This window comes from Homo sapiens, chromosome 4 (assembly GCF_000001405.40).
Source record: "Homo sapiens chromosome 4, GRCh38.p14 Primary Assembly".
Taxonomy (NCBI): Eukaryota; Metazoa; Chordata; class Mammalia; order Primates; family Hominidae; genus Homo; species Homo sapiens.
Window position 1 is genome coordinate 122,258,154 of NC_000004.12, and position 26,308 is coordinate 122,284,461.

Here is a 26,308-nt window from a genome sequence, read left to right on the forward strand (position 1 = left end):
AGATTAATTTTTATTATCATGACCTATCATATTTATTGAAAATGCATGTTATGATGTTTTGAAAAAAATATTGAAAGAGTAGTCTTAGAGATTTTAGAACATTGATATATAAAACTTTACCAAGCTTAGTTTTAAAAATAACTTGATATTTAACAAATAAATGAGTTATGAGGAATAGGGTAGATTTTATTACTTATTTTAGAAAATTTCAAATCTACACAAAAGTTTGAAAACCAGTACACTGAATATCCCTTCCAATTATCTGCAAATCCCTCTGTTAATCTATGAGCAGTCTGTGCTTTCTTGCGCTTAGTTGAATTGACTTTTGGTCCGAGTATCATTTGCATGGAATATGTGAAAGTCTAATAAAAGCCGTTTGTTCCTTTCTTGAAACTGAGTGAGAGGATTGGGGTGGGGGAGAAAATAATAAATATTTGTCAAGGAATATGAAAGTTGAGTGTCATTATATAACTAGAAACATAGGGGCTGATGTTTCATGAAAATGTGTGATAATCTATTGCTCACTTATTCTTTTGAACTGTTTCAGCCACAGTCAGTGAACACACAATGCTATTAGAAGGAACAGCTAACCGGCCTCCACCTGGTAGCTCTGGACCTGTAACTGGAGCTGAGATAATGAGGAAACTTTCTAAAACTCATACCCATAGTGACTCTGCATTAAAAATAAAGGTATATTATTGCTCTTTTTGGTTAGAGTTATCCAGACTTACAGAGAAAACCTAAAATTTTATCTCAAATTTAAATGTTAGGTGTCCACCCTAAATATTCAGATAGCATTTTCGTGTTGAAATTAACTTGATTTGTAATTTCAGTGTAAATATTTCTTTGAAAATTGTATCATCAGTAACTGCTGTTGATTAAGGACCACTATAACTACCAAGCCTTAGAGCTGTCTCCAGTTTATTGAATACTGTATTCCATAAAATCCCAAATTGAAAATGTTGATAATCTTATAATTATCAGTTTTAATGAGAAGCCTTTTAGGCAGTGTGTGATCAATAGGTGGTTTGGGTTAGACTGTTTTATGATTTTAATTTTTTTGGTTTTATGAATTTAATGGATGCTTGATAAGAGACATATAGCAAAGTGGTTAGAGTACCACCTTGCAAGCCAGACTGCCTTGGTTTGAAACCTGCCCCGCCACTTAGTTGCTCTCTGACTGAACAGGCTTTAACTGTACGTCAGTTTCCTTGGTGTAAGATGGAGATTATAATAGTAAACTTCTGAAGAGGGTTGTGAGAAATAATTGAGTTAATTCATGAAAAATGCCTAGAGCAATATCTGACCCTTAATGAATCATTTGTTGTTGGTTCTTTATTTTTTGCTAGTTATTGTTGTTGGTGGTTCTTTATTTTGTGCTAGTTTACTTTTGTGAGCACTGAAAAAGTTAAAATTTTAACTTTCTGGCCAGGCGCGGTGGTTCATGCCTATAATTCCAGCACTTTGGGAGGCCAAGGCGGGTGGATCACAAGGTCAGGAGTTCAAGACCAGCCTGGCCAAGATGGTGAAACCCCATTTCTACTAAAAATACAAAAATTAGCCGGGTGTGGTGGCAGGCGCCTGTAATCCCAGCTACTCGGGAGGCTGAGGCAGAGAACTGCTTGAACCTGGGAGGTGGAGGTTGCAGTGAGCCTAGATCCTGCCACTGCACTCCAGCCTGGGCGACAGAGCGAGACGCCATCTCAAAAAAAAAAAATTTTAACTTTCTTTGAAAGTCTGTGTATAGACTCACATTGATACCCAGAATCTGTAAAATGATAATTTTGACAATATTAAATAAAAATTTCTACACAGAACAAAGTAATATATAGTCATGCATCACTTAATGACAGGGATGATGCATTCTGAGAAATGGATCATTAGGCAATTTGTCATTGTGTAAACATCATAGCCTGTACTTACACAAACCTAGATGATGGTACAGCCTACTACACACCTAGACTATATGGGATAGATAGCCTGTTGCTCCTAGGCTACAAACCTGTACAGCATATTACTATCCTGAAACCAGTGGGCAATTGGAATGCAATGGTGTTTGTGTATTTCAACACAGAAAAGATACAGTAAAAATATGATATTATAATCTTATGGGTTCACTGTTGTATACGTTGCCTGTAGTTCACTTAAACTGTAATTATGTGGCACATGACTGTATTGTAAACAGAACAGTAAGACACATGACAAAAGGCTAATTTTCTAAAATATAAAGATCTCATCCTTATCAGTAAGAAAAAAGCCAATACCAAATAGAAAAAATGGTTAAATGATATAAACAGGTAGTTCACAGAAAAATACATATACACATACAAAAATGTTTTCTTATAATTAAAGAAATGTAAATTAAAATGAGATTTCCATTCTCACTTATCAGATTGAAAGACTAAAACTTTTGAATAGTGTACATTGTTGGTGAAGATGTAAGAAAACAGATACTCATACGGCATTGATGAGAATCAAATTGGTGCAACCTCTTTGAATAACAATGTGGCAATATGTGTCAAAATTTAGAAGGTGATGCTCTTTTATCTAGTATTTCCATATTGAGGAATTCATTCTAGAGAAAGTCATAGATGTGCGAAGACATGATGAGTCTAAGAACGTTCTTTGCAGCACTATTTATAAAAGGAAAATAGTGGAAACAACACAAATGACTAATCATTAGAGGACTAATAAACTAGCGTACACTGATATAGATGCATACTATGAAATCTTTTAGATGAAGTAGATCTGTAAGTGGATATGGAATGATCACCGAAGTACACTGATAAAGTATAGGATGATATCTATTTGTGTGTTTAAAAACGGATAAATATGTATGTACTTATATAGGCCTAACTGATTTATGTAAAGATAGATAAGAAACAGTTAAGAGAGTCTCTGGGAAAGGGATCCAGTATATTGGAACACAGGACTTACTTTCTATTGAATAGTCTCTTGGGCTTTCAAAGTTTTTATTCTGTGTAAGTATGGCTCTTTTAGTTAAAACATTCAATGATAGTTTGATATACTTTAAAAAGAAGACTGAACTATTGAGCTTATTGTTTCCACAGTATAGTTAGACGCTTGGGACACTTTAATCTGTCTTAGCTTTTTTTCCTGATGGACAGTTTTTTCAACCTTCTGAATCATATTTAGGTGTTTTCCTGTTAAAGCTGTTCATTTTCAGAATTGTTTTGAACATTCTTTTGCTATGGGTTATTAAAGTCCTCTAAAAATGTGAAATTCCAAATGCTTAGTTTCCGATCTTTGCTTTTCAAGATCTTTTTTGCCTGTGTAGTCTTTTTTTGTACTGTATTTTAAATTGATCGGCCATTCTAATCATAGATGTGACAGAAGATAGAAATCGAAAAATTCTGTAATTTTTAATTTTTTTTCATTAATTGTGGAAAGTCTTTTTGGCATTTCAGAGCTCTCCAGAGAATTAAATCTTAACACACCTTGATTATTAGAGTAGTAGGAAGGATAATTTAGTGTTAAGAATTTGAAGGTAGAAGTTAGGTAGATGGGTTAAAAATCTGGCTTTTTCCTTAGTAAGTATGTAAGGGACTTTTCTTCATCCTTTAGGACAGAATATCTTACCTTGGAGAACTTAAGGATTAAATAAGCTAATACATGAAACATGCTTATCAAGTGTTTAATACGTTGTGAGTGTTCTTTTACTTCCTGTGTCAACACCCTTCCTCCACCTTTCCTCATCTAAGTGAGGATGACTGGGAGGGCATTGAAAAGGGAATAAGCTTTTCTGCTTTTCAGAGGAGGTTAAGACATTTAAGGGCTTCACAGCACTGGTATCCATTGCGTCAACATTTCTTGCTATTAGCAAAAAGCCTCTAGTTTCCTTCCAGGTAGATGTCTATTCTGACTCCCGTAAAAAAATGCAGGGAAGGTTGCTGAAGATAGATAGCTTTTCTTTCTTTAGTTTCTTTGAGTACCTAGACTTACTTTTGATGGGATCAGTCATGTTACAGATCCTTTGTGTGTGTGTGTGTGTGTGTGTGTGTGTGTGTGTGTGTATAGTAAGTTTTTCTAGGGAATATTTTGTGTAAGGGATATTGTGTCTAGGTATCAGTTTGCTGGTTCAGTAAATAAGCAGTGATATAAATATTTCAGGCTACTGTTTTTCTTTGCTACCCATATGAATGTTCTCTGGCACTTCCACAAACATGCTATGTATAACTTTCTGAAGTTTCAATATACTATTTACTGCTCCTTAGGTATGAATAGTGCTTCATTTCCACCATCTATTTGATATACGGTGCTATGTGGTTTTATGTCTTGTCACCAGATTCCCTCATCAGATTAAGAAGGGAATTAAAGATCCATGGTTAAAATAAGTGGATGTGCTTCATTATAATATTGATAATAAAAGTGGCTCTTTGTCTTGTACTATAGAGTTGCAAAACATTTTTACCTACATTTAAGGACGTATGTAAAAAGGATTCACCACAATCCTAGTATACATGATCAGTTTTGGTATTAATGTGCAAAGTAGCTAGCAGTTATAGCAACAGTAATAGTAATAGTGGTTGTAGTTATCAGCTGTCATTTTTATATACATAAGAAATAACCCTAAGTTACACTTTCTGTAGGGCATTCACCCATATCATTCTCTGAGCTATACCAGTGGAGACACTGCCACTGATTCTCCAGTGCATGTTGGACGTGCTGGGATGCCAGTAAAGGACAGTCCAAGGAAGGAGAGCCTACTCAGCTACCTGACTGGAAGCTTCCCAAGCCTGCACAACCTCCTGGAAGGTACTCCTCAGAGAAGCAGTGCTGCTGTGAAAAGTAGCTCCCTAACGAGAACAGGTACGTCCTCTAGATTTGATAATTACATGTTTATATTTACGGGGGAATTGAGATGAAACAGGACTTAAGTTTAGTTAGATATATACTTTGGTAGTACAACTAATCTCTCATACCTTATCTTTGAGAAAAAATTTTAGGAATCCATTGTTCTGTTTGTAACTTTTCGGAGTCTTCATGCCCTTAGTTTGCATTTTTAAATTGCAGCTCTGACGAATGTCAATGTAGGCATTTGGTGTGGGGTACTGTCTAGACCAGCAACATAGAATTTCCCCTGTTATAATAAAAATAAGCTATTTATTAATGCATTAATATCCAAATACCAACATTATGCAGTGAGAATTCAAAACCATCTGCAAACATACATTTTAACTTGATTCTTCAAATATAGGTATATAAATTACATTTTTTTGCTCCTTAGTATATAAATAATATTATACTCAGAAACATTTTATTTTCAGGAAATACAGTAGCCACTGATATGTTATCTGAACATCCCTTGCTATCTGAGCCATCATCTGTGAGTTTCTATAATTGGATGTCAAATGCTGTGGGTAATCGAGGAAGTGTGTTACAAGAATCTCCTGTTACAAAATCAGGACACAATAGTCTTCCCACAGGTATTGAGTTATCACATTATTTTGCTTAACTGTCTTAAGGGGAACATATACCAAAATCTTATTTTTCAGGGGATGGGTTAAAAATCAAACAAGTACTGTTTGGTTGAAATTGGTCCATTTATATTTTTAAATGCCTTTGATAATATTGTAATTGAGAGAGTAGTAAGCAGTCACTCAGTGTTCTTGTTGAAAGGCAAATATGTCAAATGTGAGATTGTATATAAAGAGTTTAAAGCTTCCTTTTAATGTGGCTGGTTTAAGTGGTAAATGAAAAAATGCAAAGTGTAATTACAACATCATATACTTGATATTACAAAAGATAGTTTTAATTTATCTAGATCCCTCTGAGACCTAATAACTATCATTCTAAACCTTTAGTTACTTAACAAATATTTAATTAAATCTAAAACAGTATGTATGTATAAGGATAGATAAGGATGACATGTGTTCTGAAAAGTTAATTTCATTTTTCACTAATAAATCATGTCTGTAAAATAACCTAAAAGTATGCATTATTTTTTTTCTTTTCAATTTAATCAGTCTTGAAATGGTACTACTATACAGGCTTCAAAAGTTTACCCTGCTGTACACTTTTATGTGTTTCTATTCCCCAATAATTTACATTTTATTCTTAAAAATTTACTCCATTAGGTGTTGCACCCAATCTTCCAACAATACCCTCAGCCTCAGATTTCAACACTGTCTTGTCTAGTGACCAAAATACTTTGGATGGGACACATTCTCAGCATAGCACCAGTCAGGATGATGTGGCAGGTGTAGAAGAAGCAAACCAAGGGTTTCCTGCTGTTCAGCTTGCTGATGCACAGGTGAGCCAGCCTGCTTTTTCCTAATTATAATAATACCTCCTTAGGCATTGCTTAGCAACTGGAACCTCCAATAGTACGCACCTTGGAATTCTAGTGAGGCTATACCTTACCTATCTGCCTACAGCCTTCATGCAAAACAGGAGGAGCCTTTAAAAAGTACATGGCTTAGTTATAAATGCAAATTAATTATCTATATGTAATCATTAAATAGAAGAGTCTCATATAGTAACCTTTTTGTTATTCGTAACAAATTGGCTAAGCAACATGAATAGATAATCATACCCTATGGTTTTTAGTGCTACGTTAAGACTTTATTGAGCGAGCAGTGGGGAAGCATTGATGATTTTAGAGCAGAGGAATAAAGTAAAAAACTATAGATGTAGAAATATTATATGAGTAGCAAATGTATTAAATTGATTGAAATAGAGAAACTAGTGTTGAAAAGATGAATTATTGAAATAGTTCACCCAGTGGTAATGAGACTCTAGGCTTAGATGTTTATGGCTTTGAAAAGGTAAATGAGGATATGGTGAAAGTCTTATTTAATTGCTTAAATATGGCGAATAAAGAGTGAAACCCTTTAAAACATACTCTTTGGTTTGAACAGCCAGCAGGCAAGTGTGAGAGTGGGACGTGGGTGAGAGGAGGCATCATTTTTTCAGGATAAAGGTGTCTTGAGCATATTTACATACAGCTCTCCCTCAGTATTCAAGGGATTGGTTGCAGGACCAACCCCCTACCCACCCTCTGATCCGCCACCCAGGATACCAAAATCTGTGGTATGCCCAAGTCCCTTATATAGAATGGCATATATTTGCATACAACATACATACATCCTTCTGTATACTTTAAATCTTTTCTAGATTACTTATAATACCTAATGCAATGTAAATGCTACGTCAATAATTGTTACACTGTATTGGGTTTTTATTTGTATTTTTTAATTGTTACATTGTTATATTTTATTGGTTTTTACTCCCTAATATTTTCAATGTGGTTGGTTGAGTCCTTGGATGCAGAACCCTTGGATATGGAGGGCCAACTGTACTTGAGAAATTAGGAAGCTAATGATCAAAAATAAAGGAAAGAACGGTTAGCAGATGGAGCAAAATCAGTAGAAAAATGAGAAGTATTGGAATTTAGAGTCAGTTAAAGAGAGAGCTGTCTTCCCAAGCACACACAAAAAAATGAGGTGACCTAGGACAATCGGAAATACAGGCTTGGCTCTCATTGTGTAAATGGCACTTGTCCATTTAGATATTTTTTTGTTGTTGTTTGTTTGTTTGTTTGAGACAGAGTCTTGATCTATAGCCCAGGCTGGAGTGCAGTAGTGCAATCTTGGCTCACTGCAAGCTCCACCTCCCGGGTTCACGCCATTCTCCTGCCTCAGCCTCCCAAGTAGCTGGAATACAGGCACCCGCCACTATGCCCAGCTAATTTTTTGTATTTTTAGTAGAGACAGGGTTTCACCGTGTTAGCCAGGATGGTCTCGATCTGACCTCGTGATCCACCTGCCTTGGCCTCCCAAAGTGCTGGGATTACAGGCATGAGCCACCGTGCCCGGCCTAGATAGGGTTTTTTTAAGCTTCAGGAAAAGATCACTAAGGTAGAATGTGTAGTGAAAGAGGAGGCTGAGAAAAGCACTGGATAGCACCTATATTTAGAATGTAGAAGGGGGAAAAGGAACCATGTGGCAGAGGATGAGTAGTCAGAGTGATTTTAGTGCTCTAGCATTGAACACATGTAGTTCTTTCTGTTCAGGTTAGTGCTGTGTCTGAAATTCAGTTAACTAGAGATTTAACCAGAATAATCTATCTCCATAAGCATGTATGATACTTAAAATGTAAAGGAAGTTCTCTGAAGATAAATGTTAAATGACTATTACAACCAAGTGCTTCCATTTAAAAATAGGTCAGATATTCATAACATTTATAATGTTTTTATATTAACACAGGAAGTTGAAAAGTCAACTTTGTGAATGTAATATATGTTTTTTTTTGTAAATGGAAACACAATAGGAATTCATACCTGTTTTAAAAGCAAGAGGTAGAATGATTTAACTAATTCATAATTTTATTTTCCTTGTACTTTCAGACACTTAGGTAGGGTCAAGGAATCTGTGTCCTTATTTATTATTATTAATTTGAAGATGAGTGGCCTATAATAGGTACTAAAAATATTAAATTTTAAGTAAAGTTAGAGTCAATTATATGAGACCATTTTTGCTTCACACTATGATAATAATAATATGTACTGAGGTAGGGTAAGAAATAAAAGCTGCATTTTCCTACATGTAATTTCTACAGTAAATGATAAGCTGTAAGTTGAGCTAATATGAATGTTTATGTCTTTTAGGTTGTTTTCAAGCCTCTTCTGAGTCATACAGGGATCCAGTCACAGGATACAATGCCATTCTGCTACCGAATGTACTTTGGAGAACACCTTTCATTTTCAGGGACTTTGGACTGCCTCAGAGCAGATATTGTGGATTCAGACACAGCCAAAGAGAGAAAAGGCAAAAGAGCAAGAAGGTGTCTTTTGCATTTTTGTGTATAATTTTGTGCAAGAATTATAATACGTTTGTTTTTTAACGTTACTTTCGTGTAATCCAAATAAGGAAGTAATTTTTTTTTTTTTTTTTTTTTTTTTGAGACGGAGTCTCGCTCTGTCGCCCAGGCTGGAGTGCAGTGGCGCAATCTCGGCTTACTGCAAGCTCCACCTCCCGGGTTCATGCCATTCTCCTGCCTCAGCCTGCCGAGTAGCCGGGACCACAAGCGCCTGCCACCATGCCTGGCTAATGTTTTTGTATTTTTAGTAGAGACGGGGTTTCACTGTGTTAGCCAGGATGGTCTTGAACTCCTGACCTCGTGATCCACCCGCCTCGGCCTCCCAAAGTGCTGGGATTACAGGCGTGAGCCATCGTGCCCAGCCAAGAAAGTAATTTTAATATGTTAATCAGAAGATAATTACCTTTTAGTAAAAGTAGTAGCCACATTTTCTTATTAATAACTAGTTGCATTTATGAACAGATTATGAGGCCTATTTTTAGGCATATTTTTGAACCACGTTAGCACATAGATGAGGGTCATATATATTGATATATGCACTCACCATTTATTTACTTGGCTCTTGTAATAGTGGAATTTTTATGATCTTAAGGGTTCTGGGTTGACGTGTCAGGTAGTATTTTGTATTAGAAATAGGGCAGAAGTCATATTGAGAGTCTAGCCATCAGAAACAAATAGAAATGTAGCATGGTAAAAGTTAAGAACCATCTTTTGCTGTTATTTTATATTGTCATGGATGGTTCTTCAGTTTCTTTAGTGTTTAATAGGAAATAATATACCCACTAACAGGATTTGAGTAATATTTTGGGAACTTGGGATTTTATTTTCAGTGGGACTTAAATCGATAGAAATAGTAGAATATGGAGATAAATGGCATTTATGACAAGAGGTTTCTGTAGTATTGTTTCTTTCATCCTTTTTGTGTTTTTGCAAGGTGGTAAATTAAAATACTTGTGTCTGATATATAGCTAAGTAAAATATATTTTTCATTTGAAATATTTCTATTTAAATTTTAAATAATTTAACAAAAGTTCTTGCTTTTCACAATAGTCTTATACCATAACAATGACCGTACAAGCTGAAACTACAAGGCAATTTTAATAATCGGTGAAAAAAATTACTTTTGTGACATTGACAGTATTTGTAAAAACATTAAAAATGTTCTTACTATTTATTATAAATGTATAGGGAAATAAAAAAAAGTAAAACTAATATTTAGTACATTGGAATTTAAAATGTTAGAAACACTGAGAATTAGACTATTTTATTTCTTTTTAAAAACTTATCAAAGAGTAGTTTGAATGGTCCTGTCCTTATGATATAACATATAATACAGAACAAGGAGCTTTTGTGTGCCTTGGTAAAATGTCGAACTCCTTTGTATGTATGGATCAGTTTTCAGCATTTTATCCTTTGCACTTTCAATGTCATGAAATAATCTTTGATTCCCTTTACTATGAAGTTTTTTGTCAGCATCACTTCCTCTGGGATATCTTCATCCTTTCTGTCGTGGCCACTTTCCTCTTTATGTCAATAATTTTGCCTCCACTGAGTTTTTCTGGCTAGATATTAAGAGTGTCTCAAACAGTGGAAGTATCAACATTTCCATGGTCAGCTGTTTCTTCTATAACACCGTTCAATTGATCTTCCCTACCAATATCTTCATTTTTAGTTTCTTTGCTGCATTTTCATCTTTGTTGTCCAATTCCCTCATTTGATTATTCATTTTTGTAAAATGTTATGGGGATTTATTACAGAGAGAGAAACAAGGAGGCAACACAAGTAACTACATATTGTGCTTTCTGTGCATGAAGTGAACAATAGGTATGCTTCAACTAATCACTATCACTGACACATTTTGAAGTGATGTGACTAGTCAATGATCACAGTGCTCATCTGTTGTTTTGTACTGACTTGTGGGCTGAAGAGCTAGCAGTAAGTTTGTGCTTTATGCAGTTTTCACAGTAAGTCTTTGTTACAAATTTGTATCGCCTTATTGGGAGACTTGTTATTTAAGTAAACCACAGTAACTGAAATTTTAAAATATTGGAACCATCAAATCCAGACCCAAAACATTAATACCTACACATACTCTCTAGGGTTAAAATATCTGAGCTAAATTTATATTTAAATTTGCAAGAGACAGCTTTCATACAAATATATCCATTTATATATAAATATGTTTATATGTATACATACAGTCTATGTTTTCATATATATAACTAGGTTATATATAATTCAATTATATATAATTTATATGTAATAGGCTGTATATAGAGATATAGATTATATAAATAAAATTATAGCTGTAGCCTATTTATTGGCCTAGTAAAAACCATATAATACTACAACAGACTAGACCTTCATTTGAGCACACAAGTAAGTCTGTTTTGAGTGAGAGCTTCTTTGAGTGATTCTGTGAACTTCATTGCGTTTGGTCTAGCTGAACTTGACATTCCTTTTAATTTTTCTACTAACGCGCCAGCTCCGATGCTCCACATTCTTACAACTAACTCATGATCAGCTTTTATTTCTCAGATCTCCTGTAATTCCATCTTAAGCTCTTATTTATTTGGAGACCTTCACCGCAATATACTTTTCCCAGCCATTAATTTCAGTATTGTCTGGGTTTTTTGTTTGTTTTTGTAGCAGATTGTTCATTCTGCTGATTGTTGTATATTAGTTTGGGGTTACAGTTTCTTGTATGAATATGTATAACTCTCCTACTACTTTGTAAAGCCAGGGCAGTTACTAAACATTTAGCATTGAGTCTGGCATGTAGTAAGTCCTCATACATGATAGTTTCTTTGTCTCTTTGCTGTCTCTAGTAAAAGTAGCTGCACGTATCAGGGACTTATATTTTAAAATTTTAATTGTAACTTTGGCTCTGCAGTGCCCATGTCAGGCTTTTACTTGTCAGGCAAATTGTTATGGTATACCATTTTCTTTTTCTCCTTTATTTGAATCTCCCCTCTTTAAGATTTTCTTACTACCCTTACATGTTTTAGATTCTTGTTTTTGCAATTGTGGATTATTTTCATCTCTTTTTAGTCTTCTCCTGTCTGTTCTAATTCTCAAAATCAAGTTTTTCCATCTCTGACCATATGCTTAGTTGGCATTGATTGTACACTTCCTGTGAGTTTATGCATTTACATAAATTACACTACAATGGGGCATTTTTCTTATTAATTAAGAAATACTAGTATTCATTAAGGAATTATTGCTCTGTAGTTATAAATTCTTTAAGTTAAATGCAAAATATCAAAGCAGCTTCTGATTTTTTTCTTTTTGTTACAGAAAAAACTCCCATGTCTGCACATTCATAGTGTGCATGGAAGAAGAGGGAAAAATACCTTTTTACAGTTTTGGTGCTTGGGGCTTATTGTTATTATTGGTAGCTGGTTTATAGAAATTTGAGATATTTTTGACTTTCTATATTAAAATTTACTATAATAGTCTTACATGAAAATCTTTAGATAAGCAGGAGGATTTGCCAAAATAATTTTTTTATCAGATTTTAAGGTTTTGTGTGTATTTCTAATTTTTGTTTCAATTGCTTTTCCTGTCTGCTTTCAACTTAGCATGAGGGCTTCCTATCTAATATCAAATAAAATTATGTTAAATATGAATATATTAGATACAGATTGTAGGAGGGGGGGATGGTTAAGTGAGGTATCCTAATTGATCTATACTTAACTCTAAATTCCAATACTCTACGGCAATACCATCAAATGACAGTAAAAGTTGTGTTATCACTTCAGTGAAATCATTTCTTAACATAAGAAGACTGATTTTGACTTACTAGTTTTAGAATAAGATTAAGTAAGAAGACTTAAAGGCCCACCTTTGAACTCATAAAAAGCCTGGCCTAGTGAAAAAGCATATTTTACTGGTTTGCTTGCTTAAAATTATTTAAGACTCATATTTTACCTTGGAGATGATTTTGCCTATAAATTAATAAAGATGTATGTTTCTGGAAAAATGGAAGAAAAACCGTGTCCTTTTTTTATTTCACGTTTTTAGGCAAGGCCATGTGAATCTTCCTCCACTTGAGTTCAAACCAGCATTAATGTTGGGAACCTTTAGCATCAGTGCTGTTGTAATGGAAAAGTCCGTGTGCACCCCTCAGAACTCTACCAGTGCCCTTTCTTTTCATGATCTCAGCAAGCGGTATTATAACACCTTTCACTGCAACTTTACTATTTCCTGTCAGTCAATAAGCCAGCATGTAGATATGGCTTTGGTTCGTCTTATTCATCAGTTTAGCACAATGATAGATGACATCAAAGCAACTCAGACTGATATTAAACTTAGCAGATATACAGCCGGATCTGCTTCCCCAACACCTACCTTCAAAACCAGAAAACATCGGGACTTTCGTTCATCTGACTTTAGCCGCAGTTCTAGAGGAAGTCTTAATGGTGGCAATAGAGTAAATAATGCAAAGAACAAACGGACCAACAATGAGAATAACAAAAAGGAATCTCGAAACAAGAATTCATTAGGAAGATCTGAAAGAAGAACATCAAAAGTGTCTAGGAAAGGTTCAAAAGATGTGGTGGATCACATGACTATTCATATGGATGACTCTGATTCAATTACAGTGTCAGAACAAAGTGAGCCTTCAGCTGAGTGCTGGCAGAATATGTATAAATTGCTTAACTTCTATTCACTTATCTCCGATCCAACAGGAATATTGGAAAAGTCTTCAGAAACATTTGGACCAGCAGGTAACAGACATTTTTATGTTTTAAAAATTTCCATTTACAATAACAATAATACCAAAGAAGCAGAAGACTGTTCATCATGTTTTCTTAATGTCGTAAGTGGATAATTGAAATGGAGAGAAATTGTCTATCACCAGGGAAATAAAACAGTAATGGAATTCAGATATCCTGCCACCACATTTCCCAACCTTTTAAACTCTTACGTGGTATGTTCTTAAAGGATTTAGACAGACCTGATTTAAAATATCTGGCTCTACTATTCACTTTCAGTAGGAACTTGGAAAAATGTTGAAGAAATTTTTAATCATTTTGTTGGGGATTAGGAGAAAGAGGACTGGTTGGGAATGTGAAGGAAAGAAAGGTAAGACAATGTTTGGAATGTCCTTCCATTTTTCAGTCTTCGTATCTAAAATTGTATATTTTCATTTACTTATAAAGGAGTTCGGAGCCCTACAGAGCCAACATGTAAAGTTGTGTTTGAGAATGAACAAGACAACAGCAGTTTGACTAAGACTCAGAGGAAACGTAGCTTGGTAACTTCTGAACCTCAGCATGTTACTCTAATAGTGTTTGGGATTGGCATGGTGAACCGCACACACCTAGAGGCAGATATTGGTGGACTAACAATGGAATCAGAACTGAAGAGGATCCATGGCAGTTTTACTCTTAAGGAAAAAATGAAAGGTATGAATGATTTTTCTAATAAAGTGCTATGTATACATAATAATTAGTGCTACTTCTCTGAAGAAAACCACTGCCATGTCTCCAAAATTCCTAATTGGCAAATTTTTTTTTTCCCAGAAAAACTGGACTTCCCAAATTCTGAGGTACCAAGAACTTTGTTGTAATTGAGTATCAGTGAATTGAGGCAGCTTTGATGTCTAAATATTTTAGCACATAAATATTGAGTCGATGTACCTATACTCGGTGACATTTATTCTTTGTCTTTTAATATCAACTACTAAGATGTCTCTAAAGGCTGAACATTTTACCAAAATAATGAAATTTATGAAAAATTTGCTTTTGTTAACTACCATAGAAATCTTATAATCTAATACTAAGTATCTCTATAAAAAGAAGTCCCTTTAGTTGATATAAAATTTCCTAGGTTAGTGAAAACATACCATTTATCTTGAGAATGATTACACAAGGTATGATATTTTGTCAAATCCAGGAGCCCATCAATTTGAAGATGCCCTATTATTTTATGTATCACAAAGAAAATACCATTGCCAGATATGGTCAGATGCCATTGATTGTAAACTGCATCCCACTTTCAGAGATGCTAAAATAAAAAAGCAAATGTTTCTTAGACTCAGTGGATACAGCAATAAAGTTGCAGGGATTCTCTTGCAGCAATGATTATATAAAACCAGTGTGGTTTTTTTTCTGGTTGTGAAAATAACCTGACAGATTATATTACATGAGAAAAGGAAGTTATCAATCACCATGTGTTTTTATTGTTAACTTTATGATTCAGAAATTTGTAAGGTCTAATCAAAACTTACTTTGAACCTACTTTTTGTTATATACCCTTCTTTACCTGTTTTGTACCCTAAACATTTATTATTTACTCAAAAAACTAATTTTAAATTTGAGGATTATGTACTTGGGATTGACATGGTGAACCACACACACGGTTCTCTGAAAAAATTAGGTGGACTGACTGCAAATTGCTAAGAAAAATACAAATACATCAGCCTTCCCTGGAAATATCACAAAGGATATAAACAATACACAAATGCTCAGATGTCTAAGTTGATATTTAAAAAAAAAAAATTGTCAGTTTTTTCATCTGTTTAGCCAAAGTTAAGAATGACCATACTCATTTATGGTGAGAATTAGAGAAATGGACATTTTCATTCACTTTTAAATTGATATAAATTGGTTTAACCTGCCTGAAGGTTAATTTAATAGCTTTTATCAGTAGTCTTTAGAGCACATTTATCTTTTGACTCAGCAATTCGAGGTCTGCAAACCTAGGTATAAGAAATGATCAGAATTGTGTGAAAAGATATCTGTACAAAGAAGCCGCCAAGTGTCTGGCATTAAAGAACTGGTTATTTTTATAAACAAACATATGCCAGTTTACAATTTACCCATTAAAATTATACTGCAGAATTTATTAATATGAACAATAATGCTAAATGAAAAAAGTAGGCAAAATTGTTTATGTGATTTCATTTTTTTAAGTAATTAAAATATTTATACCCTCCATTAAAATCACAGGAATTATATGGACCAAGAGTGCTGGTTTATGTGGTTTCTTTTTCTTATTTTTTAAAATTTTCCAACTTTTCTGCAGTAAGTATTATTTCTGAGATGTAAAATGCCATTAGGCTATGTAATGCCAGTAGACTAATGCAGGAATGGCATATTGAAGTGTATATTTTGCATTATTGCAATTTTGACATTTAATATGTATGTATGTATTAAATGCAGAGAAATGAAAAACTAAGGAAATTTTTTAAAAAGTAGCTCTGAAATAGTTGAACAAAATTTACCATAACTTTAAAATTATCTTTTGCTACTGAATATATTATGAATAAAATGTAATTTTAATATGAAATGCAAGTATCTTATATCCAGAATTCAAATAAATATTTTTTCTCATATTTAAGATGTTTTACATCAAAAGATGACTGAGACTTGTGCTACTGCTCATATTGGTGGGGTTAATATTGTGCTGCTTGAAGGGATTACACCAAATATACAGTAAGTATGTCAGTTTTTATTTTCTTACACTTATAGTTTTAGACAAAAATGGAAATTCTTTGGATAAACATGCTGAATTTTGAGGTTTGTATATACAATATCAGTTCCCAGATACTGAGAATCCTGTCGTTAAGAATATCACCAAATAAAATATTTTAGAAAAATACTTTTTGTCTTTCTAAAATTGGTGGTATATACCTTCATTCCTAACTTCCATTCAGCAGAGCAGTTTCATGTTAACTACAAAACAGCCTTTGATAATTTAGGTCAGATTTTCAGAATTTGCTCTTTCTTAATATTATGACTAGTTAATGTTGTGCTACTGTTATCCTGTAACACATCCAACATGACTAAATAGAGGATTTGGTTCAGCGTTATAAAAATTAAGTATTAGTCCTAGATTGACTAAGAAGTATGATATGTTACAGCTCTAATAATATTTTAAAAATCTGAATAATGTGATAGCTACCTTGGGGAATATTTCCTGAAATGGATGTTTATTAATGGGCCATAGCTTTCTGCAATGAGTTTTGGCTAAAATCAGCAACTCAGACAGGGCCCATTCTCAAGACTTCCTGGAGACTGTCTGAGGTTCGGTTTGGACCTATAAGTGTAGAACTAAAGACTGTATATTTCATAATAGCTGCCTACTATTCAGATCACATTTCCTAAGAAGTCTTTTCAAGAAAGGCAGGAAATTCCGGTGGTTGTGAGAGATGAGATCTTTTTTTGTTCATTCAATATAGGAGAAGGGGTTATTATTATGTATTAATTATAATATTATTAAGTGCCTACTGTGGGCCAGAAGCCTCACCTAGATTATTATATTTAATCTTCACTGCAATTTTGGGAACTGGAGTGGTCTTATCTACCTTTACAGAACAATAAATTGAGGTTCAGAAAGATCAACATAGTGCCTAAAATACTTAATATAGTCAGTAAGAAGAGATGCCTGAATCTATACTCTTTCGACCTTATAATGCTTCTACTGAAAGTCATAGACCATGGATTCCACGAATCCTTCATTTACTCTAAATTTGAAGTACCATGGGTACGTTACCTTCAGAAAGTAAACTAAATTTCTTTAGGTGTCCCATGAGTTTTATTTACTCTATCCTCCTGGATCACTTCTCTTCATTATTTGTTATCTCTTAAGAGAAGGGCTTCCAATAGTCTTTAACCTTGCAAAACATAATGTTTATAGAACAGATTTTTGGTAAAGTATTATATAGCTGATATTTCTTGCTCTTTTTTCCCCCAAGTAAAGATCCCTTAACTGTTTTATTTGAAAAATAAAAATTATTTATTAGTTACTGCCAAACTCGTAGTGTATTCTTTGGTATTTCATTTTCAATTGCAATGAAGAGGAAATGGAATGGAAAAAAATGGTTCAAATGGTACTTTAAAGGAACATTTTAAGAGTGGGAAATTAGAAAAGCTTTCCAGATGATTGGTCATATTGTAACTAATTTGTGCATGAATGTTTATTTGCCTCCTTTTTGTTTTCCCACTTTCTCTTGACTCTTCATCTGTAGACTGGAGGATTTTCCTACATCTCCTACAAGTACAGCCAAACAAGAGTTTCTGTATGTCATATTATTCTTTTTCATGGCTTTGTAATTACTGTAGTATTGAATAGTTTTTAAAATATTTAAATTTTTTTCATGGCTGTGAATTATTTAGTTATTGTTTTGTAGCTGTAATATAGGCCCTTTTATATAATAGATTAAAGCTTACTGGTAATCAAGGAAAACACAGGTAAGGGCTGCTTTTTTGGTAATTCATACCTTGTCTGTTGTTGTTGACAAGTTGTAACACTGTAGTTGTGTGTTGCTTGTGCCTTTTCAGACATGTTACTATTAAAATTTCTATGATCAAAGTACTTAATTTTTGATATGATAATGGAAGCTTAAAAAATTCACTTTGCAAGAAAGAGTTTTCACTAATTGTAGAAATAATTATTAAAACACTAACAAAACATCTGTACATCTCAGCCTTATAATTCTGTATTTAAGATGGGGAGAGTTGACTACTCTGTTAATAGATTTTCATGGCCTTTACTATATGTAAATATGTGTTTAGTTTCATTCAATAGATGAATGCTGTTCACATCTAGAGAGCCATTTGCATGTCAGCACCATCTGGGTGTGTTCTGGCTTATGTTGAAACTGAACTTGAAATGTTGGTGTTAAACAATGGTTTTAATTATTATAATGTTAGAAATGATTCAAAATTCAGTAAGTAGCAGCATTTCAGAGCCTACCTTCATGCTGACTAGGCCAATTCCGTAAACTACTGCCTCCACCCTCTGGTGATCATCTCTGAGAAATAGTGTCTTGTGGAAGAAAAAAGTGTATTTCTCTAGTAATTGGTTTTGAATTTTATGTAATACCTAGATTTTACTGTTTATAAACAATCAAGACCTCTGATAGAGCTACTGTTGGGCTTTGCGTTTATCCTAATAAAAGTTAAATGTGATGAACTGGTTCTTCATATCTTTGAGACTATAAATAATTGGCAAATTTTCTGCAGCCCAGCAGAGATTATGTAAACTGGCCTGTAATTAATATGAAATATGTATTTTGTGTATTTTGCCAAATTTAGTGATTGTCAAGAATCATTTGCCCATTTGAAGGATCACATTTATATTAGAAGTTATTGGAGCCAAGGTGGGAGGATTGCTTGAGGCCAGGAGTTTGAGACCAGCCTGAGAAATATAATGAGACCCTGTCTCTACAAAAAATTTAAAAACAAGTTAGCTGGGCATGGTGGCACGTCTCTGTAGTCCCAGCCACTTGAGAGACTGAGTTGGGAGGATCACTTGAGCCCAAGAGGTCCAGGCTATAGTGAGCTATGATGGTGTCACTGCACTCCAGCCTGGGCAACAACGAGACCCCATCTTAAAAAACAAATAATGTATGTGAGGGTGTGTGTATGTGTCAAACACTACTTCATTATGGCTTCTACATAAATGTCCTATCATATCCTATCTGTGGAATTCCACAGTTGTAGTGGTAGAAGTCATTCTTTTGCTTTACTTCTTTCTGCTCTTTCATTTCACAAATATTTGGCAAGTGTCTATTTTAATCTCCCAGGAACTGTTCTAGGCATTGGAAAGAGCAAAAGAAATCAAGAAAGATCGTATCTTTGCTTTATATCTGTACTAGTAATTAAAGGATACCAATTCTTAATAAAAGTAATAGCCTTGCTCATTATGAATCAGACTTTTATCATTTGTTTACCACTCACTGAAAATGAAAAGCAGAAAATGCAAGTTACACTTCCTCCTTCCTATCAATTTCTTGTAACATAGTGGATGATTGTTATTCTAATTTCTTTGACTCCCTAATTAGATTTTAAGAAGTATAGTGAATATTTTTTCTTTTCATATTTAATGTCTGTATAGTGGTTGTACAGATCTCTAAAATAAGGTGGAGAAGAAAAGAGTTCTGAATGGGGGTAAAATAAAAAGTGGAATGTTGTGTGTCTGTGTATGTAATATAAAATATCTTGTTCATGTTTTTACTTACATGTGAGAATATACTTATTTTCTTCTATAGATTCTTCCTATTAAAGAAATTAAACACTATTCAGTGCAAATAGCATAAAATAAATATATTAATATTTTTAGATAACATTGTTTCTTCATTGTATAAACACATAAAAATTTTTAAGTCGTTTCAGTTCATTCAGTTACGAGGGGGCTTCACAAACTGTGGAAAATGGAATTAAAGATATAAAAAAAATAAACTTTATTTCCCAACATAAGGTCCATCAAGTTCAAGACACTTTTCTAATCAGTGATACCAGCCATTTATTCCTTCGCTAATGAACAGAGGGGTCCCATGACAATGCAGTCTTTTTCACATTATTAACTGAAGAGAAATGCGCACCCTTTAATTTTTTTTCTTTTTAATTAGGAAACAAAAAAAGTCAGAAGGAGCCAAATTAAGACTGTGAAATGGATGCCTACTGATTTCCCATCAAAACTCTTAACAGAATTGCTCTTGTTTGACAAGAGGAATGAGCGAGAGCATTGTTGTGGTGGAGGACTGGTAAAGCTTTCCCGAGCATTTTTCTAGTAAAGCTAGGGCTACCTTTCTGAAATCACTCTCTTAATAAGCAGATGTTATCATTCTTTGGCCCTCAAGAAAGTCAACAAGCAAAATGCCTTGAGCATCCCAAAAAACTGTTGCCATGACCTTTGCTTTTGACTGGTCCACTTTTATCTGCTCCCCATGCGGGAGTGCAGTGGTGCAATCTCAGCTCACTGCAATCTCCGTCTCCTGGGTTCACGCAATCCTCCCACCTCATCCTTCCAAGTAGCAGGGACTGCAGGTATGTGCCACTATACCCAGCTAATTTTTATATTTTTTCTAGAGATGGGTTTTTTCCTTGTTGCCCAGGCTGATTTCAAACTCCCGAGCTCAAGTGATCTGCTCACCTCACTTTCAAAGTGTTGGGATTACAGGTGGGAGCCACCATGCCCAGCCATGACTGATCTGCTTTTGATTTGACTGGACCACTTCCACTTCTTTGTAGCCATTGCTTTGATTGTACTTTAGTTTTAGTATTGTACTGGTAAAGCTATGTTTAATCTCCCATTACAATTCTTTGAAGAAATGCTTCAGGATCTTGATCTCACTTGTTTAAAATTTCCATTGAAAGCTCTGCCTTTGTTTGGAGTTGATCTGGGAGCAATGGTTTTGGCACCCATCGAGTGGAAAAGTTTGCTCAACTTTGATTTTTTAGTCAGAATTGTGTAAGCTGAATCAATTGAAGTTGTCTATGGTGTTGGCTGTTGTTTGTGCTGTTAATTGTTGGTCCTCTTCAGTTAGACACAAAGAAGATAAAATTTTTCCTTGCAAATTGATACTTGGTTTGCCACTGTGGGCTTCATCAACATTGTCTTGTCCCTTCTTGAGTTATCCATTTGTAAACTGCTGATTGCTTTGGGATACTATCCCCAAAGGCTTTTTATAAAGCATCAATGATTTTGCTATAATTCGCCCAAACTTCACCATAAACTTGATGCTTGTTCTTGCTTCAATTTTAGCAGAATTCATGTTGTTTTGATGGGGGCTCTGTCAAACTGATATCTTATCCTTCTTGGTACTTTAAAGAAGATCATGTTCACATGTTTCAACAAGTGAATATGAGTTTATTTTGGTGCAAAATAATTCTGAAATCTACACTTTTTTTGTAATACACATTTTCCATGAACTTTTTGAAGACCTCTCAAATTTATAAGTATTTTTCTTGCTCTCAATATTTTTTCAAAATTTCTCTTTACTTGGCTGTTGGCTGTATTTTAATAGTCTTCTTTCTCTATTGATAGAACTGTAGTGAAATGTAGTATTGCCAAGTCCCAAGCCCTCTACAGTGCCCAAAGAGGGCTGAAGACAAACAATGCTGCTGTGTTCAAAGTAGGAGCTATCAGTATCAACATTCCTCAGCACCCTGCCACCTTACATAGCATGATGGTTCGAAGTTCTCACCAACTATCTAAACAAATCTCAGACCTAATCAGACAGCCTTCTACAGCGTAAGTTATTTTATTTGTTCACATTCTGTGATTCCATATACTACCTCAGGGTATTCTTTGCTGCATTAACAAAAGTTTGGAGGGAGATGAAGGGTTACTTCTAAGTATCGACCATTATGGACAGTGGAGCAAGAGGAGAGTAGCCAATTGTGATCATGTGAGAATGACTTTTGAAAGCATTAAAGTACAGTGTCGTCAGTGCAATTGTCAGTGTTCCATATTGCATAAACAAAGCTTAAGAGATCCTAGAGATTTGTGGGTATTGTAAGAGGTACTAATAAAAAGCAAATTGGTGAATTCCAGGACCATGTCAATCCTTGTTTACTTTGAATTCATTGGAAACTTATGACTGCACAGATTTAAGAAAGTATAGCAGTGGTCATTTATGTCCCAAGGCAGCATTTGACCATGCCACATAAATGTTTTAAAGGGCAGTAAATTTGAGCATTAACCTTTATTCCCTATGTCTGTAGCCTTTGTTCATACATCTTCACTGCTGAGCCTTATTCCTGGTCTCCAAAAACTGTAACTAATAAAAATACGTGGTGGCAGGCATCTGTAATCCCAACTACTTGGGAGGCTGAGGCAGGAGAATCGCTTGAACCCGGGAGGCAGAGGTTGCAGTGAGCCAAGACTGCACCATTGCACTCCAGCCTGGGCAACAACAGCGAAATTCCATCTAAAAAAAAAAAAAAAAAAAACAACCATGTAAAAGGTTAAAAATTTGTCTTACGTTTTATTTCCCACATCCTATAAGTGGGAAAACATTAGTGTGTCTTTTGAAGGTGCCTCAAAGCTGATTTTTCCAATTGTTTTATCTAAATCTTTAATTCTGATATAATGTTTAATCATGGCTGAAGCTAAGTAGTAAAAATTTAAATGTTTTTCCTCTGAATAGAAATATGGAATCCAGAGTGTATACTTAAATTTTAGTTTTAAAATGCTCCAAGGAGCTTTTCCTTACTATAGTATCAGTAGAGTGTAGTAGTTGAAAAATCAGACCCTGGAGTCAGACTGATTGGGTTCAAATCCTAGTTTCAGCACTCTAGCTATGCTTCCTCATTTTGCAACGTGGAGACAATAGTACCTACTTATTAAAGTGAGATAAATGAGACAAAGCACACAATGCACTAAGAACAGTACCTGCCACTCAAATTGTTATTATTGTTATTGTTGGGGTTGGTGTTGTCATTCTTAACAGTAGTAGTAGTAGTAATGTCAATAATATCAGTAGTAGCGTGTAATAGTTAAGTGATAGAATTTGGAATCAGACAAATCTGAGTTTAAATCCCAGTTTTGTAATAATGATAAGAATCACCTTCACAGTATAACATTCTAAGAGTCTCATATTGTTATTACTTTTTCTTGTCTACTTTTCCATATCATCATTGTTCAACAGGTGTTTTAGAAAGTCTGAATATGATCTGATATTGGAAAGAAAACATCTATTCACAGTATATATTTGCTATTTTTCACTGAGAAATCCAGTGATTTTCTACAATAAAATGGTACGTCCTGTGTTTATTTTTTAATTATTTTTTTTTTGCTTTCTAGCCCACAGCCTGTAAAAGAAGATATTGCAACCCCACTACCTTCTGAAAAAACCCCAACAAGTGTTAATCAAACTCCTGTTGAAACAAATGAATTTCCTCAGCTACCAGAAGGCTTAGAAAAGAAGCCTATTGTTCTTAAATTCAGTGCCATGTTAGATGGTATAGCCATTGGAGCAGCACTTTTACCATCTCTGAAAGCAGAATACAAGATGGGAAGAATGAGAAGTCATGGAATGACAGGTAATATTGAATTCTGAATTCACTCTCTTAAAATTTATGATTTGTTTGAGAAATTAGTAATATTTTGATAAAAAGGTAAATTTGGTTTTATAGATATTATAAGTAATTTTGATTATAACATTTAAAGTTCATTAATGATGTTCTCTAGTCAAGTAAAAATATCAATCCCCCACCCCAAAACCTTGAATGACCAGAATGAACTCTTTTGAACTCCATAAAATTATTCAACTATGGAGGCCATTTCTCCAATTTAAACTTAAGTTGAAGAAATTAACCCATTTCTACATCTATTAAGTTTTTAATAGACTGAATAACTTGGTTTATTTTCACATTGGGTTCATTTAGCTCAAATCAGGGGTCATTTGATTTCTTCAAAACAGCTAATTCTGTATGGTTTTGTGACCCTTATATTAATATATCCTATCTCAAAATTCCTTGCTTTTAATATTTATGAAATATATCATGTATACAAAGCATGTAAATTATACATATACACATTTTAAAGAATAATTAAGTACTGTGAACTCACCAACCCACAATATAGCCTAAGAATTGGCACATTACCAATACTTTGAAGCCTTCTTTGGCCGGGCGCAGTGGCTCACACCTGTAATCCCAGTACTTTGGGAGGCTGAGGCGGGTGGATCACCCGAGGTCAGGACTTCAAGACCAGTCTGGAAAACATAGCAAAACCCCATCTCTGTTAAAAATACAAAAATTAGCTGGGCATGATGGCAGGCACCTGTAATCCCAGCTACTCAGGAAGCTGAGGCAGGAGAATCGCTTGAATCCGGGAGGCGGAGGTTGCAGTGAGCTGAGAGTGTGCCACTGCACTCCAGCCTTGGCGACAGAGTGAGACTTCATCTCAAAAAAAAAGGCAGTCTTCACTTTTCATGGAATTACTGCTATCATGAATTTTGTCTTACCCATTCTTTTGCTTTCCCATATAGTTTTACCATATATGTATATACTCATAAATGATTTAAAGTTTGCTTTTAGCTGTTTTGAACTTTGTTTATATGGAATCTCACATTTTTTAACTAGGAATTTTTTTATTTGACTAAGAGCTCCTTACGAGTTTATATATATAAAATGCCAGTTGATGGTTCTTTTTTTTTGCTCACTTTACCATTGAGTCATTTGTATTTTTCTTGATTCGCAATAATTCTTCATAAATTCTGTATATTAACTCTTTGATATCATGTTTATATGTTGTCACCTAGTTGGAGGCTTATCATTTAACTTTTTCTTTTGATCAGCAGACATTCTTCATTTTCATGTAATTGAATTTACCATTATTTTTCCTGTATGATGTGTATTTTTATGTCCTGAAGAAATGCTTCTCTTCCTAGGATAATAAAAATATTTTGTTACATTTTTTCTTGAATGTTTTGAGTTTTGCTATTCATATTTAAGTTTTTAATCTATCTTAATCAATTATTATTGTTCTTAGATTTGGCATGGGATAGTATATAACCAGTGATCATTGTATATAACCAGTGATCATTGTATATAACCAATGATCTCAGCATCACTTATTGATTATTCTTTTTTTCCAGTGGCATATAATCCAGAAATTTGTCACATCTTAAGTGTTATTTTTAATGTGGGAGTCTAGTTCTGAGTTTTCTATTCTGCTTCATTGATCTCTTTGTACCAGTATCATGTTGCTGCCTGACTTTTTCTTTTTCAGGAATTGTCCTGGCTGTTTTTGATCCTTTGCTCTTTCATATACGTTGTTTATTTTTATTTTTTGAGACAGGGTCTCACTTTGTTGCCCAGGCTGGAGGGCAGTGGCATGATCACAGCTCTCTGCAGCCTTGACCTCCTCAAGTGATCCTCCAGTCTCAGCCCTGTGAGTAGCCAGGACTATAGGCATGCACCACCACATCTGGCTAATTTTAAAATTTTTTGTAGAGATGGTGGGATTTCACTGTGTTGCCTAGGCTGGTGTTGAACTCCTGGCCTCAAGCGATCCGCCTGCCTTGGTCTCCCAAAGTGCTGGTATTACAGGCATCAGCCACCATGCCTGGCCTCATAAACATTTTAGAATCAGTTTAAGTTCCCTGAAAAAGCCTGTTTAGACTTTTGTAGGAACTTAATTGAATCTATAGATTTATTTGGGGAGAAATGACAACTAAACAATATTCAACCTTCCTATCCTTGAGTAAGTCTTATTTCTCTGTTGTTTAGGTCTTCTTTAATGTTTTTGTATAAAGTTTAAAATTTTTCTACTTAAAGGTTTTTGTGCGTCTTTTACAAGATGTATTTATTTATTAAGATATCTAGGTATCTTGTGGTGTTGTAGCTATTACAAATGTTATCTTTTGTAAAATGGCATTTTTCTAAACTGTTGGTAGTCTACAAGTGTGCTTGATGCTTTTTTGTTAATCTGATACTCAGCAACCACATTAAACTATTATTACCAATAAGTTGTAGATTCTTAGGAGTTTTATCTATAGACAGTCATACTGTTTAAACAGCAAATAATGATACTTTTGTTTCTTTCCAACTTTTATTTCTTTTTCTTGCCTTATGGTGCTTGCCTTGTCTGATTTTCTTAAAGGAATCAACATTACATGAATAAGTCTGATGTCTGCTCTAGGTTTCTGCTATCAGGTTAAGAAAATGTACTTATTTTCCCACTGTGCTTAAGAGTTTCTATGAAGAATTATTGGTAAATGTAA

The 26,308-nt window shown here is 34.3% G+C and overlaps 1 protein-coding gene across 44 annotated transcripts in view; it reads left to right on the forward strand.

Annotated features, from left to right (window-relative positions):
* Positions 1-26,308, forward strand: part of BLTP1 (bridge-like lipid transfer protein family member 1) — a 210,422-nt gene that overhangs the window by 105,823 nt on the left and 78,291 nt on the right. For 36 of the 44 annotated variants that reach the window (XR_938783.2, XM_047416253.1, XM_047416259.1 and 33 more), the window contains 11 exons: positions 548-690; positions 4,611-4,830; positions 5,289-5,447; positions 6,099-6,274; positions 8,630-8,805; positions 12,865-13,571; positions 14,007-14,252; positions 16,190-16,283; positions 17,819-17,869; positions 21,622-21,828; positions 23,383-23,621. Coding sequence is in view for 43 of the 44 variants with exons in the window: in XM_047416253.1 (XP_047272209.1) it covers positions 548-690; positions 4,611-4,830; positions 5,289-5,447; positions 6,099-6,274; positions 8,630-8,805; positions 12,865-13,571; positions 14,007-14,252; positions 16,190-16,283; positions 17,819-17,869; positions 21,622-21,828; positions 23,383-23,621 (2,418 nt within the window). In the remaining variant the exon portion in view is untranslated. Of the gene's footprint in view, positions 1-547; positions 691-4,610; positions 4,831-5,288; positions 5,448-6,098; positions 6,275-8,629; positions 8,806-12,864; positions 13,572-14,006; positions 14,253-16,189; positions 16,284-17,818; positions 17,870-20,203; positions 20,609-21,621; positions 21,829-23,382; positions 23,622-26,308 lie in introns of those variants that run through there. The other 8 variants (XM_047416268.1, XM_011532323.2, XM_047416266.1 and 5 more) reach the window with 2 other exon arrangements.